This window comes from Homo sapiens, chromosome 16 (genome assembly GCF_000001405.40).
Source record: "Homo sapiens chromosome 16, GRCh38.p14 Primary Assembly".
In the NCBI taxonomy this organism is placed as follows: domain Eukaryota; kingdom Metazoa; phylum Chordata; class Mammalia; order Primates; family Hominidae; genus Homo; species Homo sapiens.
The window spans coordinates 49,630,650-49,649,475 of NC_000016.10; the positions used below are offsets into that span (position 1 = coordinate 49,630,650).

Here is an 18,826-nt window from a genome sequence, read left to right on the forward strand (position 1 = left end):
GAGGCATGCAGGGAACAGTCCATGATCACAGTGACTTGGTTGATCTTCTCAGGGGCAGGTGAATAAAGGGAGCTCACTGTGCTTGGAAAATACATCCCCAGGGGCTTGGGCAGGAAAACAGGCTGCCCTCAAATGCCTCTCTGCCACCCCTTGGTAATAGGAAGAACACTGCCCAATAACTGAGCCCCTCCTGGTGGGGCACTGGGCTTCATAGGGTTCAGAGGGTTCCCAAGGGAAGGGCCGGGAGAAGGGCTGACCCCTCACATACACACAAGACACACACACAGATGTGCAAGCACACGTATGCATTCACATGCTCACTTTCACCCCAACTCACCAGCAACACACAAGACCTTCACAGACACACCCGCAACCCCTACACACAGCAACCTGTAACACAGATACATATGTGCAACCCCCAGAGAAGCAGGGCCATCCACATGGGTGAACAAGGCCACACAGATGGGCATGTTCACACTCATCCAGAGACCCTGCCTTCAGCTCACTCACCACAACCCCAGTACACACACCGGTACTCCCAAATACGCCCACAGACATGCATGCAGCTTCTGACACAAGTATACACACAGACCCATCCCCACACGTACCACACACCCTCATGTACACACATGTAGACTCATAAGTGCTCACATGTGCACTCACACATAGGCACATACACACACAGGCTCACCAGCCCCCAAACCCTCCAAGCATGGCTGGACTCCAGTCCTCACCCCAACATCTATTCCTAGTCTATCCCCACTCTCAACCCCCCTGGAGACCCCCTCCTCCTGCAGCTTCAGCCCCCACTAGGAGATATAATTACAGAAAGACAGAACTTGGCACTCAAAGCACCTCCCCTGCCATAAGCCCCTTCCCTGGGGCCCAGCCCAGGAGAACTAGAGCTGAGTTCCAGGGCCTGTGGCCAGGGCTGCCTCCCCCAACACAGCCCTGAGCAACTGCAGAGGGGGGCCCCGGGCAGGAAGAAAACACACTTGAGAATGGCAAAGACAGGAGAGGGAGGGCAGGGAAGAAATGGCCAGGCCCTTCAAGACAGGAAGGAGAGAAGGAAAAGCCAGCCAGAGCTGTTATATTTCCATGATCGTGAGCACTGCCAATGTTCACTGAGCACTTGCCATGTGTGGGCAGCATTTATGCTAAATACTCACAAACCCTCTGCAAGCTCCACCCTAGGGATGGGGTAAGTGGAGTTTCAAGAGGCTGCATCACTTGGTCAGAGCCTCTTGCTGGTGAGTAGGAGAACTGGAATTCGATGCCCACTGTCTGAGCTGCCATTCTCAGCTCCATGTCCCAGATCTCCTGCCAGGCCTGGTCTAGGTGACAGAAAGCTAGTGGGATCTGGATAGGCCCTCTAACCTTGATATCTGTTTACTTGGCTGTAAAATGGGTATGAGAACACCTGGCCTGTCCCACCTAGCAGAGAAAGGCACCGTGGGGATCTGCAGGATCAATGGATGGCCAGGGTCTGCCCGTGCTGGTCTCGAGTTGGGGTGATGTTGTCATTACCCATAAACAGAGGGGGAGGTGGAACTTCAATGCTTCATGCTCCAGCCGACAGCAGCCTCAGCCCCACAGGAACCCAGTCCTCTGAGAGCTGGTTGCTATGGATACACTCCCGAGGGTCCCAGCCTGCCAGCCCCCAAGCCCCTGTGAAACCCCCAGAGTCTGTTCTTACATGAGTGGGTCCTCAGGGAGGGAAGGGGTGGGCTAACTGACATCTGGGCCCCTGTCCCCAGGTGTGCCCACACAGGGGGCAAGGCCCCAGAGAATGCCGCCTTGCCTGGGGAGGTACCTGGGCTTTGTTTCTGCAATGGCCCATCTCCCCAGGCCTCCAGGCAGGCAGAGCCATGATTTTCAGCTCATCCCTGCTCACACAAGGCCCAAAGGCAGGGAGAGGAAGGCCTGGGGGCCCCCAGGAAACACGGTCCCCTTGAGTTTCAGTCCCTGCACAGCCGCGCACAGCTGTGCATCCTTGGGTATATGGCATCACCTTTCTGAGCTGGAGCCCCTCTTTACCAAAACACAGGCCACAGCAAGGTTCCTGGATTGTTGCTACAGAGATGACCTAAAAGTTGGTGCCCAGCAGAGCACCACTCACATAGTAGGGGCTTTCACAAAGTGGTGCTTGATGCCGGATGCAGAGCACTCCAGGGAGGCTCACACAGCCCAAGGCTTTGGAGGCTCTAGAAACAGCTCCCTGGCCATCAGAAAACCCAGCACCATGGTGGGCAGTGCCAGAAAGGGAGGGGTGATCTGGGTTGAGGGGCACCCAGGAGAAGCGGGCACAGTGACCCAGCCCAGCTGCACTGCCCCACAGCCTGAGCACAGCTGTGACCACCCGGGACCCCACCCCAGCTGGCCTTTCCCTTCCTGCAGCCAGGATGTGGTCCAGAGCTGCTGGGTGGACTGTTGGTCAAGATCAGGGGCTGTGGTGCAGATGCTGCCTGCCTGGGTTCAAGTCTCCTCTCAGCTCTCGAAAGCTGGGGGCTTGAGGCAAGCAACCTCATTGTGGTATGCCTCAGTTTCCTCATTTACAACATGAAATATTGTAAGGATTAAATAGAAAGTGCTTGGCAAGTCCTTACTCCTCAATGAGTGTGGATTGCCATTGTAAAAGGGAAAAATATCAGCGACATTTACTATGTGCTTGGCACTTAATTTACACATTTAATCCTCAGAGCAAAACGCTAAGGTCAGCATGAGAAATAGTCACAATGGTTCACAAATGATGGGGAACAGGCAGTGACCAATCAGAGCAGATAATGGTTAAAAAACCAGAGAGGCCCCCCAGTTTCTCCCTAGATGCAGAGATGTCAGCCCAGGAGAGACTCTATTACTATTCCATTACTATCACTATTCATTACCACTGCCACTACCTCTGGCTTCGTAGTGGAACACAGAGGCCCAGAGAGGTCAAATTACCGCTGGGTCCTGGGAGAAGGAGATTTTAACCCAGGCCACCTGACTCCAAGGCCAAAACATTCCCTGAGAGCACCTATGCCCCCCTAGAAAGGCTGAGGGGGACAGAGCGGGGCAGCAGAAACCAGTGCCCATGCTCAGCCCCTGGAGGGGGTCCTCCTGGGGCCCTGTTTAGAACCCTGGCTCAGACAAAGGGTCCTGAGAGGGTGGGGTACTGCTATAGCCCCTAAAAGGAGCTCTCCACTCCAGACAGGACTTTGAGGAGAGACTCCAGGCCCCAGCCAGACATGCAGCTCTGTTTCTTTTTCTTCCTTTCTTTCTTTCTTTTTTTTTTTGAGATGGAGTCTTCCTCTGTCACCCAGGCTAGAATGCAGTGGTGTGATCTTGGCTCACTGCAACCTCTGCCTCGTGGGTTCAAGCAATTCTCCTGCCTCAGCCTCGTGAGTATCTGGGACTACAGGTGTATGCCACTATGCCCACCTAAATTTTTGTATTTTTAGTAGAGACGGGGTTTCACCGTGTTGGCCAGGATGGTCTCAATCTCCTGACCTCGTCATCCACCTGCCTCAGCCTCCCAAAGTGCTGGGATTACAGGCGTGAGCCACCACACCTGGCTTTTTTTTTTTTTTTTTTTTAAGGAACAGGGTCCCACTCTGCCACCCAGGCTGGAATGCAATGGTGTGATCATAGCTAACTGCAGCCTTGATCTTCCAAACTCAAAAAGTGCTGGGACTATAGGTGTCAGCCACAGCACCCGGCCTCGCTATTTTCATTCAAGTTGTCCTCTCTTCAGGAAGATATCCACGGACGGGTCCCCTGGCCCTCTTGGCTCCCGTGGGCCTGTGTGTAACACCAGAAGTCAAGGTCAGCAGGCACTGAGGCCCCTTCCGCTGTGGGGTCCTCCCTTTACTCTCTCTGGCCCTCTTCTCTCCCCCTCTGCCCTCCTCACCCCCTCAAAATCACAGGGTCCCAGGAAAAACACCCTCAGCAAACACCCCTGTGTCCCAGCCGGTGCCTATGGCAGATGGCCCTTCCCCAAATCCTGCCTCCCTGCCAATGGTGCCAGCAGCGGTCCTTGAGGGAAATATACTCCTGAGATCCGCCTGGCACCTCCTTGGTCTGGAAACAGACAACACAGACTCAATGGGAACCCCACACCTGTGCTGTCTGACACCCAAGGGCCACACAGACTCCAGGCCCACCATTGGTTGCCCCTCAGCCCCTGTACCCAAGGCCTGTGTGGGCCCATCCATAGCCTAGACTTCTCCCCAGCTCATTGAAAGCCACTTATCATGGGCCTGTGGCTCCCTCTGGTCCACAAGTCCCAAGTCAGGGTCCATTTCTGGTTCTCCTTGGCTCCCAGGCACCTCCAAACATAATGGGTGCTTTGATGAACAGGGAAAATTTGATGAACGAATCAATCAGTCATTAACAATAACAGCAATTGAAACCACATCAAAGGGCCTTCCACATACCAGCAACTGCACTAACTGAAATGATGCCACTGGTGATAAGAGTACCAGCTGGTGATGACAGCCAGCACCACTGAGCCATGAGTGCTGGGCTCTCGGCCCCTTGTGTGTGTGTGATCTCTATGAACTGTCAAAAGAATCCTGGATCTAAGGCCCAGAGAAGTCAGTGACTTGCCTAAGGAGACCCAATAAGCAAATGAGTATGTCATACCCCAGCTCAACAACAAAGACACAAGCCACCACCCATGGTGCCCTCACTGTGCATCAGCCACTGTGCCAGGCACATTACCTGTATGATGTCCTCGGCCTCTTACAACAATTCTCTGAGGTTGGGACAATTATTATTCCCATTTTATACATTAGCATTTGACAAATGAGACCCAGAGAGATAAATAACATGAGCCCATCACATGGCTGGAAAGGCAATGGCAGTGCTGAGGTTCAAACTCAAGGAGTCTACAGCACAGCAGTTCTGTTTTGCCACTGCGCGATAGCGCCGCTTCTTGGAAACACGGCACTCAGGGTACGTGGCTCCTGTGGGGACCAGAGGAGCCCCAAGGAGAGGAGCAGGGAGCAGGATGAGGTGGACTGCACTTACCCGGGGCACTGGCGATGTCTGGGTGCCTTTCCGGGGCCCACTGGTCTCCGGCGTGAGGTCACGGTGGTCCACCTGCATGTGGCTCTCCAGGTCTTCGGCACTCTCAAACTTGACACTGCACTCGGGGCAACGGAGGCCGGCACAGGGCCGGTCGGCGGGCTCGGGCGGGGCCAGGCCACCCACCTGTCCGTTGGCGCTGCGGGCCATGCAGCCGGCGCAGAGGCCGTAGGGCAGCCCATTGACGTCAAGCTTCACCAGGTCCTGCTTGCTGCGGAACTCCTTGAGGCACAGGGCGCACTTGTAGAGCTTCTGCAGCCCCTGGCCATTGGGGGAGGACGCCGCTGAGCTGCCCGCCAGCTTCTGCATGTGGAAGGTGCCATGGATCTTGAGCTCAAGCGTGGAAGTGACTGTCTGCATGCAGACCACACAGCGGAAGCCCGTGAGTGAGTTGCGCAGGTCAGGGTGCATCTGGCAGTGCTCAATAAACTCCTCCTCGCTCTGCAGGGGCATCTTGCAGATGCGACAGGTGCCCGTGTCCAGGCTCTTGCTGTGGGTCACCTTGTGTTCGGTGAGCGTCAGCAGCGAAGGGAAGCGCTCACCACAGATGGGACACATGTAGTGCTTGGCAGGGCCCCGGTGCGTCTGCAGGTGCTCCCGTAGCCCGTTCTCCGAGAAGAAAGTCCGTGAACAAACGTTGCACTTGTGACTGCCCTTGATAAACTCAGCCTTCTTGCGTGAGCCATCATCCTCGCCCGGCCGGATATTGTGGTCCCGCAGCCGGTGATTCTGCAGCAGCACCTCCATGGTGTAGGCCGCCCCACAGATGTCACAGCCGTACATGGGCTCCGACGCGTCCACGTCATCCTCGCTGGCCTCATGGCTGTTAGGTGCCTCAGGGTTCTTAAGCAGCATGCCCTGCAGGTCAGCAGGCTCAGCTTTCTTGGTGGCCATTGGGGGTACCCCATTGGCCGTGCCGTTCTCGGTCGCAGCATCAAACACACAGTGCTTCTCCCGCAGGTGCTTCTCCAGCAGGATGATGGCGTGGAAGGCCTTGCTGCAGAACTTACAGTTATACTTCTTGCTGTGTGTGGTGATGTGGCACTGCAGCTCCACCTCGGTGCTGAAGGTCTCCCCACAGAAGATGCACTTGTGAGCCTTGGCCGGGTTGCCCAGGTGGCTGTGTTTGACGTGCACCTGCAGGTCAGCCTCCTTGCGGAAGTCCCAGTTGCAGGCCGTGCAGCGGTACATCTTCTTCTCATTGCTGTGCTTCACCGCCAGGTGCACCTGGATGGACACCTTGGAGTCGAAGACCTCCTGACACAGGGTGCAGTGGTACAACACAAAGGTGTGCATGTCCAGCAGGTGCTTCTGCAGGTCATCCACCGAGGAAAATTGCTTGTCGCAGCTCTCGCACACATAGTGGGTCGACGTGGTCATGTAATGCACTGTCAGGTGCTGCAGGAGGGACTCCTGGGAGTCAAAGTCCTCTTTGCACTGGGGGCACGCTTGCTTCCGCAGCAGCAGCTCCAGGTGCAGCTTCAGGTGGGTCTGGAAGCTCTCAAAGTTGGAGAACTTGAGGTCGCATTGATTGCAAGGATACTCCCCATTGGAGATGGAGTTGGCGCTTGCTGAGAGCCGCTGCCGCTTCGGGGAAGACACCTCCACATCGGACGAGACTGGGCTCTGCTCGGCCTTGGACTTCTTGCTGTGGGCCAGTGGAATGTTCTTGTGGTTCTCCTTGATGTGCTTGGTGAGTTTCAGGATGGAGCCAAAGATGGGGGAGTTGGTGCAGTAGGGGCAGGAATAGACCTCCATGAAGGACTGCGTGGGCTGCACCACCGGAGACTCTAGTTTGGCACTGCCCACACTGCAGTGGGCCTGCTGGATGTGCTCGGTGAGGGAGGACTCAGTAAGGAAACCCATGGAGCACTGGTTGCAGAAGAAAGCATTATTACCGTCAGAGGGGTTGGCGTTGGGGCCGCAGTGGGAGACGCGGATGTGCTCCTGCAGGCTATTGATGTCGGCGAACATCTCGGGGCAGTAGTTGCAGTGGAAGGCAGAGATGTTGCCAAACTGCATCACAGGGTAGGCATGGTTCTTGTGCAGCTTGCGAACGTGCTCGTTGAGGTTGTAGAGGGTGGGCATGGAGTCCAGGCAGATCTGACATGTGTGGCTCTGCTGGGGCTTGTCCGCGTGGATGGTCTTCAGGTGGATCTCCAGCACGGCCAGGCTGTTAAAGTCCCGCTTGGAACAATAGGGGCAGCTATAGACCACCTTGGTCCAGCCCTGCCCGTCATCCCGCATCTTCTTCTGCCCCCGCAGCGGCTTCAAGGTGGAGTCCGGGGTGGAGCCACGCTCCACAGAGGCGCTGGAGTCGGGTGTGGCGCTGCTCATGGAGGCCACGCTGCCCAGTACAGGGTCGGGACTGACACTGTGGTTGCTGGAGTCGGGCTGCCGGTGGCTGTCCAGGTGGCAGTAGACACCTTCCACTGAGGAGAACTGCTCAGGGCACATGGGGCACTTGTGTTTCTGGTTGGCGTGGGCTTGGTGGATATGGGCGAGCAGTGTGTTCTCGTCGACGAAGACCTCAGGGCAGTGAATGCACTGCAGGTCCGCCTTCTCGGACAGCTGCGGGTGGCGGGTGAGCACGTGCTTCTCCAGCTCCTCCGTCTGGCTGAAGGTGTCCTCGCAGTAGTCGCACATGAAGTCGTCCTTCTTGGCTTCCTTCTCCGACTTGGCCAGATGCTCCTTGTTCTTTTTGTGGGCCTGCATGTGGCTCTGCAGCGAGCTGGTGGAGGAGAAGCCGCGCTTGCACACAGTGCACTTGAAGGGCTTGCTGGAGCTGTGGGTCTTCAGGTGGATCTTGAGGTGGTCGCTGCGGGAGAAGGCTGCCTCGCACTCGTGGCAGTGATACTTCTTGTCGCCCGTATGCAGCTTGATGTGCCGGTCACGGCTCCTCTTGTGCTTGAAGAGGCGGCTGCAGTAGGTGCACTTGAACGGCAGCTTGTCGCTGTGGATCTGCTCGTGCCTCTTCAAGTAGCTCAAGCGGATGAAGGACTTGTCGCAGAACTGGCAAGGGTATGGCAGGCCCGTGCCCCCTTCCTCCTCGCCGAGGCCGAGGTCACAACCATCTCCGATCATCTGCGTGGGTGACGCAACATCCTTGCTGGAGGGAGACGAGGCCACCCAGGAGAGTTGTGGGTCGTCATCACCATCTGCAAGAGAAGGCAGAGAGGATATTAGAGGCAATTCCCAGGGCTGCCGAGAAACAAGGACAGAGCCAGCTTCTCGACAGCACGCGGGCTGAGGCTGTGCAGCTGGCCAACGGCTGCAGGGGGCTGTGGGGAGGGGCAGGGGCCGGAAGCAAGTGGACACCAGGGCCTTCCTGTCTGCAGAGGGCACGCCAGAGGGGCGGCAGATAATGAAGGGGGAGCGCCTTTTCCCTTCACAACACTTGCCTGGACCTGGCAGGACATGATACCCCCCATCAGAGGGGAGGCTCTCGGCCACTTTCCTGATAGGGAAAGGAGGGGCAGCCTGGACAAAGTCACTGGAAACGAACTCACAGACCACCAGTCCCATAGGCCAAAAGGAAGACAAGTCCTGTCACTTGATCCACACCTGGGAGTCAACTCCCCTCAAATCCCTAATCCTGGAGGGAAGGAAATCCCACTGGTCCTTATGAACACAGGCAAAATTTTGCAACAACAAAAATGCCCTTATCAGATTGGCCATAGAATGCACCATTCTCTGGGTATGGGTGGACTGATGGAGCTGGAAGCTGCTGCTTCAGGTGGTAGACAAGACATAGGAGGTGTGAAATCACAGGGCAAGAGACAGCAGACTTCAGTGCTCAGGTGGGAAGGGAACCTAGGGCACTGAAGAGGCATCTGTGGGTTTCCTGGCCCAGGCCATCCTGAGACCCTTGTTTTCTTTGTTCCCACTGCACCCCTGGATTTGCCCCAACCCCACCCAGGATCAAGACAGATGGAGAGATGGTGACAGTGATTGGAGGATGAATGAGGACATGGAAGGCCACAGAGCTCAGACCCAGGCGGACCCTTAACCCCACTGCAAAGGCAAGGAAGAGACAATCCTTGTACAGACTCCAGCCAGTCCCACCCTCCCTGGGGACAGCCCCCACAACCCCCCTCGTTTGCTGGCCCGGCTAGCCTCAGAGGAAAACTAAACAAACCTAAGGGTAGGCCGTTTCTGGGAAAACAAAGGCACACAGGACACAGTGAATAAAGCTAGAGACATTCCCCGGCGGGGGCCGAGCAGAGCCAGCCCGGGCAGGGAGTGAGTTCCAAGGCTCAAGTTTCTCTTCGGCTGGATTTAAAACTTAATAATGAATGAAACAGACCGCAGGCTGCTGCGGGCAGGGGAGAGACAAACAAAAGCTCAGATTCGGCTCCGCTGACCTTGCTCTTGTAACCCCGAGGAAATAAACCACTGCCCCCGCCTCTCCAGCCGCCAGCCAGCCTGGCTGAGTCTTCAGAAGAGCCTCACAGACGTAACCCAGACGTAACCTTGGCCCAGAGGCAGCCCAGACCTTCAGGAAGGGATGGGGCAGGCGCACCATGCTCCCAGCACGGGTGAACACTGGCACACAGATGCGCATACACACGCCTACCTACATACACACACAACACCCACCATCACACACATTCATTCACACCATCACTCCCACACACTCACACTATCACTCACAAACTTAAATATACATGCACACGCTCATGTACACACATTCACCTGCAGACACACACACACACACATCACAGACCTGTGGTTTCCCTACAAGGCTCTCCACACAAGCTGCCTCTGCTGTCCCAGGCCGATCCTAAGACTTAAAGAGAGAACAAAGGCTGATTGGGGGGTCTTGAGGGGTCCCTCACAGCTGGGGCTGAGCCTGGTCCTAGGCCCCGCCCCCACCCCCTGGCCCCCGCAGCGCTGATTGTGTGAAGATCCACCTGACCCCCCTGGCACCATTGGCACAGCTCAACCGGGATGCATGCGGCTCTCCGAAGCTCGCAGTTCTCCAAAGCTCCCGACTGCAAGGCTTCCGGCAGCCAACCCACCTCTGAAGCCCAGCTCCCCAGCCCAGCTCAAGGGGCCTCCTGGAACACCCTCCCAGAGCACCAGCACCTTCTCCCCCGGGGGCCTCACATGACGGGCTCGGCAGACGGGAAGGATGCAGCAGTCGTGGCCAGCTCCCCAGATGAGATGCAGTGGGAGGCGCCCCAGCCCCTGCCTGCCAATTCCCAGCTCTTGCCAGCTGGGCTCTCTGGGGCACAGACAAAAGGGACCCCAGGGAGGAGATGGCTGGGGCCAGGGGACCTACTCGGCCCCCGCTCCAGGCCAGGCTGGACTGGCTTCTTATTATTTTGATGTCTTCACTCAGACTCACTCAAACTGCCACTGAGCCCTTCCTGTGTGCCCAGCACTCAGTGCTAAGTGCTTTCTCACAACTGCAAATGAGTGGCCAGGTCCACTCCCACTGGACAGACGAGGAAACTGAGGCACGGCCTCAGAGACTTGCTCTGGGAAATGACAGTGCCAGAGACTGATGCCAGGACTGTCCACATTCAGGCCCCTTGATCGTGATGTGGGCCTGGACCAGCTTCTGGGGGCCAAACAGTCAAATAAGACCACTCCTGCGTGGGTAAGAAGGGGAGAGGCCCACGTGTAAAGCCTCCAGGGTCCTCAGGACTTGATCTCCTTGGAGCCTGCCTTGTGAAGAGGGCTGGGGCTGGCCCATGATTTGCATTTCTGGGAGGGGCTCATCAGGGTTCAGAGAGACACAGGAACTGGCTGGAACCCACCCAGCAACTGATGTGTGGAGAAGTCTCAACAACTGGGCAGGTGAAACCACTATCACTCTTGTCCCTAGGACAAGCCTGAACAGATATTTCTGCCAGGGTTCATTTGCTCCTAAACCTTTCACACCACCTGAAGACCAGAAGACACTCACTCAGAGCCAGAGCCCTCCCAGCTCCTCTATGAATTCATCCATGCCCTGAACATTCCTCTTAACCACTCACTTTACGCATCTGAAAAAAGGGAATCACTGGGAGGAGTGGATGAGAAAAACTAATGGGAGAAAGCACTATTATGCCACTGACATGAGATGTCCAGAATAAGGCGCATCTGAGACAGAAGGCAGGTTAGCAGCTGTCCGAGGCTGGAGATGGGAGCAGGGACTGGCTGCACAGGTGACAGGGATCCTTCTGACATGAGGGAAATGGTCTAAAACTAGACTGTGGGTGAAGACTGCACAGCTCTGTAAACTTACCAAAGACTGGCTGAGTTGCTCACTTCAAACAAGTGAATTTTATGGTATGCAAATTATACTTCAATAAAGTTGTTAAACAAAAGCACTATTTTGCCAATAATAAGAATTAGTACTAATTAGTGCCACAAGTGCTAACAATATTAACAGCTCCATTTATTGAGAATGTCCCACGTGCCAGCACTGTGCTAAGTATGTCTATTATCGCAATTAATTTCTATTCATCCTCACAACAACCATATCTGGCTGTCTGCAGTAACATTCCCATTTCTGAGATGAGGAAGTGGGGTTCAGGGAGGTGAGGAACTGGCCCCCAGTACCAAGCCAGATGCCCCATTTAGTGTCTGGCCAAACTTCATCCTGTAGGAGTACAGAACCTGGTCCCGAGGCCCCACATCAGTCATTCACCCAGTAGGCTTTGAAAAGGAGAATCTTAACCTGCCCGGCACCAGAGTACCCAAGGTTCATTGCAGGCTGGCTGCTTGGCTTTATTTTTCTGCAAACAAGTTTTGAAACTAAAGCAAAGCGTATTATTCTGGGAGCAACAAGCTGAGCCACTGCTGAGATTATAATCATCTGAATTGAAATGAAAATAAGGCTCCTTAAACTGAAAAGGCCCAATCAGGGAAAATGGGCATGTTGACATATAAAGTCCCAAACTCAGATTGCCCTGTTTAAAGTCTTTTATTCAAAGAACATTCAACCTCGCCTGCTGCCATCCCACCCCCTCCAAATGCATTTTGCTTTGGGGGGACTTAGCTCAGTGCTCTAGAAACAGGCTAGAGAGATAAGCTAGGGCCAAAGCTCGGGATGTATCTACAGGGGCGTCAGCAGAGAAAGCGGTTCTCTTTTCTTTTTTTTTTTTTTTTTTTTTTTGGCAGGGGCAGGAGGGGAAGGAGTCTCGCCCTGTGGCCCAGGCCAGAGTGCAGTGGTGTGATCTCGGCTCACTGCAACCTCTGCCTCCCAGGTTCAAGCAATTCTCCTTCCTCATCCTCTCATGTAGCTGGGATTACAGGCACATGTCACCATGCCCGGCTAATTTTTGTATTTTTAGTAGAGACAGGGTTTCACCATGTTGGCCAGGCTGGTCTCGAACTCCTGACCTCAAGTGATCCACCCGCCTCAGCCTCCCAAAGTGCTGGGATTACAGGTGTGAGTCACTGCGCCTGGCCCAAGGTTCTCCTCTCTTATAGCAATGACACTTTCCTCATGCTGGATGCTGGACACCACACACACACCTGCAACTGTGGCCAAGGCAATCCCAAAGTCCCCTCCAACATGAACATTCCAGAATTCAGGAAGAAGGTGGGTTCAAGGAAAGTCCTGTTCAGTCGCTACATTTTTATTTTCAAGTAAATACTTGCATCGATTTTGCTGTGTGCCAGGCATTCTTCTAAGAGTTAATGTGTACTCACTCATTCAATCCTCTCAATAGGCTAATGAGTTAGGGACTGTTATAATTTCCATTTACAGATGAGAAAACCAGGGCACAGAGCGACTGAGTGACTTGCCCAGTGCCACACAGCCAGCAGGCAGCAGAGTCAGGATGTGAACCCCCCCTTAGTCCTGTTCAGTCAGTGTTTTCACCCACAAGGCTTCACTACCCCCCACCCCCCACTTTGGGAGGAGAAGCATGAGAAAATCAAGTGGGAAGTACAATGACTAATGACAGACCCATGCTTCCCCTGCCCCCCAGAGTAAATGCAATCAAAGAACTATAACAAAAATGAGTTAAAAAAACACACACACACTTGCAAAATGGAGATTAAAGTCATTTAAAAATGACTAATCCTGCAAAAAGGCCAAATAGGAAATGGGTTATATGAGGCTTTTGCTGTCTGCTGCAGGAAGAGAAAGAAAACAAGCATAAAAGAGGAGAGAATTTTTGATAAAAATTCAATTAAGTTGAAAAAAGAACATTAACTGGGCTTCAGAACACGTCAGCAGCAGAAAGAGCCAGGTGATTCCCAAGCTCATGTGGTCACACTTGGTGACCAGCATGGAGCAGGACATGAATTCAGCAGGCTGATGCTACAGTGTGTAAAACTGCCTCGGACACACCTCATCTAGGCTGAGCAGTGCAAGTGGCCGCCCAGAATGGCTGGGAGCCACAGCTCACGGCTCCTCTGTCACAGAGAATCAAGGTCAGAGATGCTGGAGAAGGTGCTCGGGCCAAGGCAGGAGAGTGACTGGCCCACAGACTCACAGGAGTGGGCCGAAAGGGAACCTTCCTGCAGTGGGGGGCACACATGGAAGAGGAAGTGAACTCCTGCCATCGAAGCTATGCAAGAGGCCCTAAAAAGAACACTAGGGGGACTCTCTGCATTGAGTTTGGGGGGAAGATAGCTGAGCCCAGGAAGTTCCAGGTTACTAGGACATTCCTGAGCTGGGCAGTTCCATCTGTGTGAATAAAAATGACCATCCAGCCGGGCATGGTGGCTCATGCCTGTAATCCCTGAACATTGGGTGGCTGAGGTGGGAGGATCGTTTGAGGTCAGGAGTTTGAGACCAGTCTGAGCAATATAGCAAGACCCTGTCTCTTAAAAAAAAAAAAAAGAACAAAATTTACACAGGCATGGTGATGTGTATTTGCAACCCCAGCCACTTGGGAGGCCGAGGCAGGAGGATCACCTGAGCCCATGAGTTTGAGGCCGCAGTGAGCTATGATCATGCCACTCTAGCCTGGGTAACAAGAGTAAAACTCTGACTCAAAAAAAAAAAAAAAAAAAAAAAAAAAAAAAAAAAAAAACCGTGAGCCTACAGAGGGAACAAGAGCTCATCCAGCCATTGGAATAAGGTTTCCATCCCAGTCCTCAGGGCCTCTTGTGCCCAGGACTGTGCTGAATACTGCAGGGTCGCCTGGGTGCATCCCACCTTGGTCCTGCCCCAAGGACATTCCAGACCATGCAAAGGAGAGGCCAAGTAGAGCAAGAAAGGCACCAGTGGGAGTCATGCTGGGGCAACGGGCAGAGAGTCCATCAGGAGGCTGGGCCTCCACTGCCTCTGCTGGCTCATGGGAAGCTGGAATTCATGCTCTCTATAGCCCCTGCCATATGAATATAAAGATCACCTTGTACAATACTCCAACCATCAAGACCATCTTCATGATAGACACAAAATGGCCTTACAGTGCTTCACAAAGTCCCCAAAAAGACTCCTTGCCACTCAACTGTTTCTTCAGAAAAATGAAAATTGCCAAGGAGACCAGTTCCCGACAGGACAAAGCTTTGTAATACACCAAGCAGAGCTTCTCTGCTGCCCCCATACAGAGCTCCAAGAATAGGAATCACTGTGGCCCTTCCCTAAGCTCAGAGGAATGGGACCCTAGACTCAGGAACCAACTACCCAATCCCACATGATACAGATGGAAAAGCTGAGGCCCAGAAAAGAGAAGAAAACTTACAAGCCCAGCTAATTGGTAGTGGTTGCCTAGAATCCTGTGTTCAGAAGGATTCCAAGGCCTTATCTCAGGTCCAAAGAAATGAGTGCTGCAATCAACTGATGATGTCTGCCATGAGCAGAGACATGTAGGAATGGAATAGTCAAAGGGCACTGAGCAAACTGGAAAGAGGAGTCTCCTGACTCCCAATGCTAGATGCTTTTCAGGTTTCCTCTTCCAAAAAAGGAGCTGTCCATTCTCTTTGAGAGATGAGGCTTTGGTGTTCCCAAAATCCTGTTGGTCACAGAGAGACAAGAGGCCCTGACAGATACCGTATGATATGGTTTGGCTGTGTCCTCACCCAAATCTCATCTTGAATTGTAGTTCCCATAATCCCCACTTGTGGTGGGAGGGACCTGGTGGGAGGTAACTGAATCATGGGGGTGGTTTCCCCCATGCTATTCTAGCGATAGTGAGTAAGTTCTCATGAGATCTGATGGTTGTATTAAGGGGCTTCCCTCTTTGCTCAGCTCTCATTCTTCTCCTTCCTGCCACCATGTGAAGAAGGACATGTTTGTTTCCCCTTCCAACATGATTGTTAGTTTCCTGAGGCCTTCCCAGCCATGCACAACTGTGAGTCAATTAAACCTCTTTCCTTCATAAATTACCCAGTCTTGGGTATTTATTCACAGCAGCATGAGAATGAACTAATATACTGTAGAACTGTGTTGGAGTCTGGAGAGGAATCTCCAGCCAGATAGGTCAGCTGTGACATCAGCTGATGGTGAGGATTGCCCAAAGTGGACACAAAGCAGCCCGGACAACCGAGGAGAGCCAGTCAGTGTTTCCTAGAGCCTGGGGTAATAAGAGCTGCAAGACCTGAATATGCTTCAGGGCACACTGTAGATTGTGGTTCCCACAGAGGTAGCCAGAGCCTAAGCAGGTGGCTTTCCAGACACGAAATGATCCAAATTGAGCTCAAGGGGCATCTGGGCATATTCCTGATCACTTCTTGGGAAACCAGGGGTACTTGCACACACCTGATGCCAGAACTAGCCATCCATCCCAGAATACTCCTCAACTCAATTACATCCCTGCCTGTAAAACTAGCATCAGTGTATTGAGGGCAAGAGAGGGTGCATAGCTCCTCCCTCATCTTATTTCACTGATGGAGAAACTGAGGCAACATGACAAGTCACAGGCAGATCCAGTGGTTACTGTTTATGGCACATTTTCTTTTCTTTTTCTTTTTTTTTTTTTTGAGAAGGAGTCTCGCTCTGTCACCCAGGCTGGAGTGCAGTGGCACGATCTTGGCTTCCTGCCACCTCTGCCTCCTGGGTTCAAGCAATTCTCTGCCTCGGTAGGAATCCTGAGTAGCTGGGATTACAGGCACCCACCACCACACCCGGCTAATATTTGTATTTTTAGTAGAGACAAGGTTTCACCATCTTAGTCAGGCTGGTCTTGAACTCCTGACCTTGCGATCCACCTGCCTTGGCCTCCCAAAGTGCTGGGATCACAGGCGTGAGCCACCACGCCCAGCTGTATGACACATTTTCTATGTGCCAGGTCCTTTGCCAGCTTTTTCTCAATTGATTCTCACACATTCCCTATGAGGTAGGTACTATTAACAACCCCTTTTTATAACTGTGCAAAGTGACACTCCAAGAAGGAAAGTAACTTCTGAGCGCACAGACATTGCAAGTGGCAGATGCCCCCACCCACTTACTAACCACCAGGCTACACTGCTTCACCAGGCCCTGGAGCCAGTCCAAGGCCCATATCCCTGCTGGACCTGCTCCCTCTTTCTTGAGGTCCACCATGCACAAGCACAGTACCAGGCCCCGTGACTTGAACCAGGTACAGGTCTTAAGCTTTACAACCCCACCTGCCATTGAGGCAAAGTCAGTGGTGGATGACCAGGCTAGGCTGGGTCTGATGCCAAGCACTAATGAATGTTGCTGGCCTCTTTCCTCACTGGATGGCAGGTAAAGTAGCCTGCTGCTTAAATAGCCTATGCAGAAGCAAACCTGGAGATTGTGGTAGGCAGAATAATAATTACCCCAAAGATGTCCAAGTCTTAACTTCCAAAACATATGAATATGTTACGTTACATGGTAAAATGGAATTAAGGTTGACAATTGGCTGACCTTAAAATAAAGAGATTATCCTGGATTATCCACATGGGTCTGTTGTAATCACAAGGGTCCTTAAATGTGCAGGAGGGAGGCAGAAGAGGAGGTTGAGGTGATGCAATATGAGAAGGACCCAACCAGCAATTACTAGTATTGAAGATGGAAGGAGGCCATATGCCAAGAAATGTGAGCAGCCTCTAAGAACTGGAAAGGCAAGGAAATGGATTTTTCCCTAAGAGCATCCAGAAAGGAATGCGGCCCTGCCAACACCTTAATTTTAACCCAGTGACATCTGGGTCAGACTTCTGACCTACAGAACTCTAAGATACTATTTTTTGTTTGTTGTTTTAAGCCACTGTGCTTATGGTAATTTGTTACAGCAGTAATAGCAAACTAATACAGATTTTGGTACCAGGAGTGGGGTGCTATGAGAACAAATACCTAAAATCATGGAAGTGGCTCTGGAATTGGGCAGCGATCAGAGGGTAGAAGAATTTTGAGGAGTATGATTTATTTAAAAGCCTAGGTAACCTTGAACAGATTAATGGAAACATAGATATTAATGACTCTGTTAATAAAGACTCAGAAGAAAGTAAGGAACACATCAGAGAAAACCTAAATCACTTTAGGAAATATCTAAATCATCATGAACAGACTATTAAGAGAAATATGGATATTAATAAAGGCACTGACAGTGAAACTGAAGGAAGGGGGATCCTTGATACTTGGTGGCAGAAAGCTAAGTGAAATTATGACTCACAGTTATGTGGGAAGCAGAACTTTCATGGATAAACTTGGATACTTAGCTAAGTAGATTTCCAAGCAAACTGTGGAAGGTATGGGCTGGTTTCTTCTTGCTGCTAAAAAGAAAAAAGATTAAGAAAAGAACTGTTAAGCAGGCCAGGCGCAGTGCTCACGCCTGTAATCCCAGCACTTTGGGAGGCTGAGGCAGGCGGATCACCTGAGGTCGGGAGTTCGAGACCAGCCTGACCAACATGGAGAAACCCCGTCTCTACTAAAAATACAAAAATTAGCTGGGCATGGTGGCACATGCCTGTAATTCCAGGTACTCCCAGCTATTCAGGAGGCTGAGGCAGGAGAATCGCTTGAACCCAGAAGGTGGAGGTTGTGGTGAGCCAAGATCATGCCACTGCACTCCAGCCTGGGTGACAGAGCAAGACTCCATCTCAAAAAAAAAAGAAAAAAGAAAAAAAAAACTCTAAGAGATTTACTTACAAGAAAGCATGCTCCGGAGAAAAAGCTGAAGGTAGGACTGCACATATTGCTAATATCTCAGGAAAATCAAAATGCCAGAGTATTGAGTATTCAGTCACAACAAAGGCTCTTTGGTGAGATTAAGGGTGTGACTCACAGATCTCCTAGATCAAATTAGAGAGCATCTAGGAAATTTGGGGGTATTGCTCTGGAGCAATCTCAGCAAAAGACAAAAGTAGAGAAGGGATTATCCAGGAAATATCTGTAGAGGACCATCTTGAATAATGGAGAAAATACCCATGACATACACAGGAGACTCACAAGGTTCTTGAAAAGTTTATACTGACAGAAACACTGCCAGCTTAAACCAAAAAGGACAGAGAGAGTACAGGATGAAAGAAGTCTGTTGGACACCCAAAACTTCACAAGCAGGAAACAGGTTAATAAAACTACTCAGATGAAAGTACATGCTACCTTTCATGGGGAAAAAAGGGATGACTAAGCGGGCAGAACCTCAAGCCCAGAGGGTGGAGCCATGAGCCATAGTGGATGAGATCACTACTGGACCAGGTTCAGATTCCAGAACTGTGTAACCATGGGCAAGCATATCCCCTCTTTGTGCTTTCATTTCCCCATCTCTTGATAGAGAGAATCCGACGAACAGGTCTCTAAGAGGCTTTGTAGCTCTTACAGTCTGTTATCACTTAATGATGTCTGTGCCTGCCCTGGGTACAGAGTAAGTCTCAGGTGGTAGGTATCCCAGCTCTCTACTATCTCCTAGTTCGGGTGGTTTTTTAA

The 18,826-nt window shown here is 52.2% G+C and overlaps 1 protein-coding gene across 15 annotated transcripts in view, besides 1 other annotated feature; it reads right to left on the reverse strand.

The window, feature by feature from the left end:
* Nucleotides 1-18,826, reverse strand: part of ZNF423 (zinc finger protein 423) — a 371,756-nt gene that overhangs the window by 143,126 nt on the left and 209,804 nt on the right. For 14 of the 15 annotated variants that reach the window (XM_047433809.1, NM_001379286.1, XM_047433808.1 and 11 more), the window contains one exon: nucleotides 5,011-8,225. In XM_047433809.1, the coding sequence (XP_047289765.1) occupies nucleotides 5,011-8,225 (3,215 nt within the window). Of the gene's footprint in view, nucleotides 1-5,010; nucleotides 8,226-9,793; nucleotides 9,852-18,826 lie in introns of those variants that run through there. The other variant, XM_047433810.1, reaches the window with a different exon arrangement.
* Nucleotides 17,374-18,573: an enhancer, noted in NCBI's record as "CDK7 strongly-dependent group 2 enhancer chr16:49681934-49683133 (GRCh37/hg19 assembly coordinates)". NCBI's record gives its function as "activates an origin of replication core promoter dependent on BRD2, BRD4, P300/CBP, MED14 and CDK7 cofactors, with strong dependence on CDK7, by STARR-seq in HCT116 cells {active_cell/tissue: HCT116}" and the evidence as "EXISTENCE:reporter gene assay evidence [ECO:0000049][PMID:35650434]".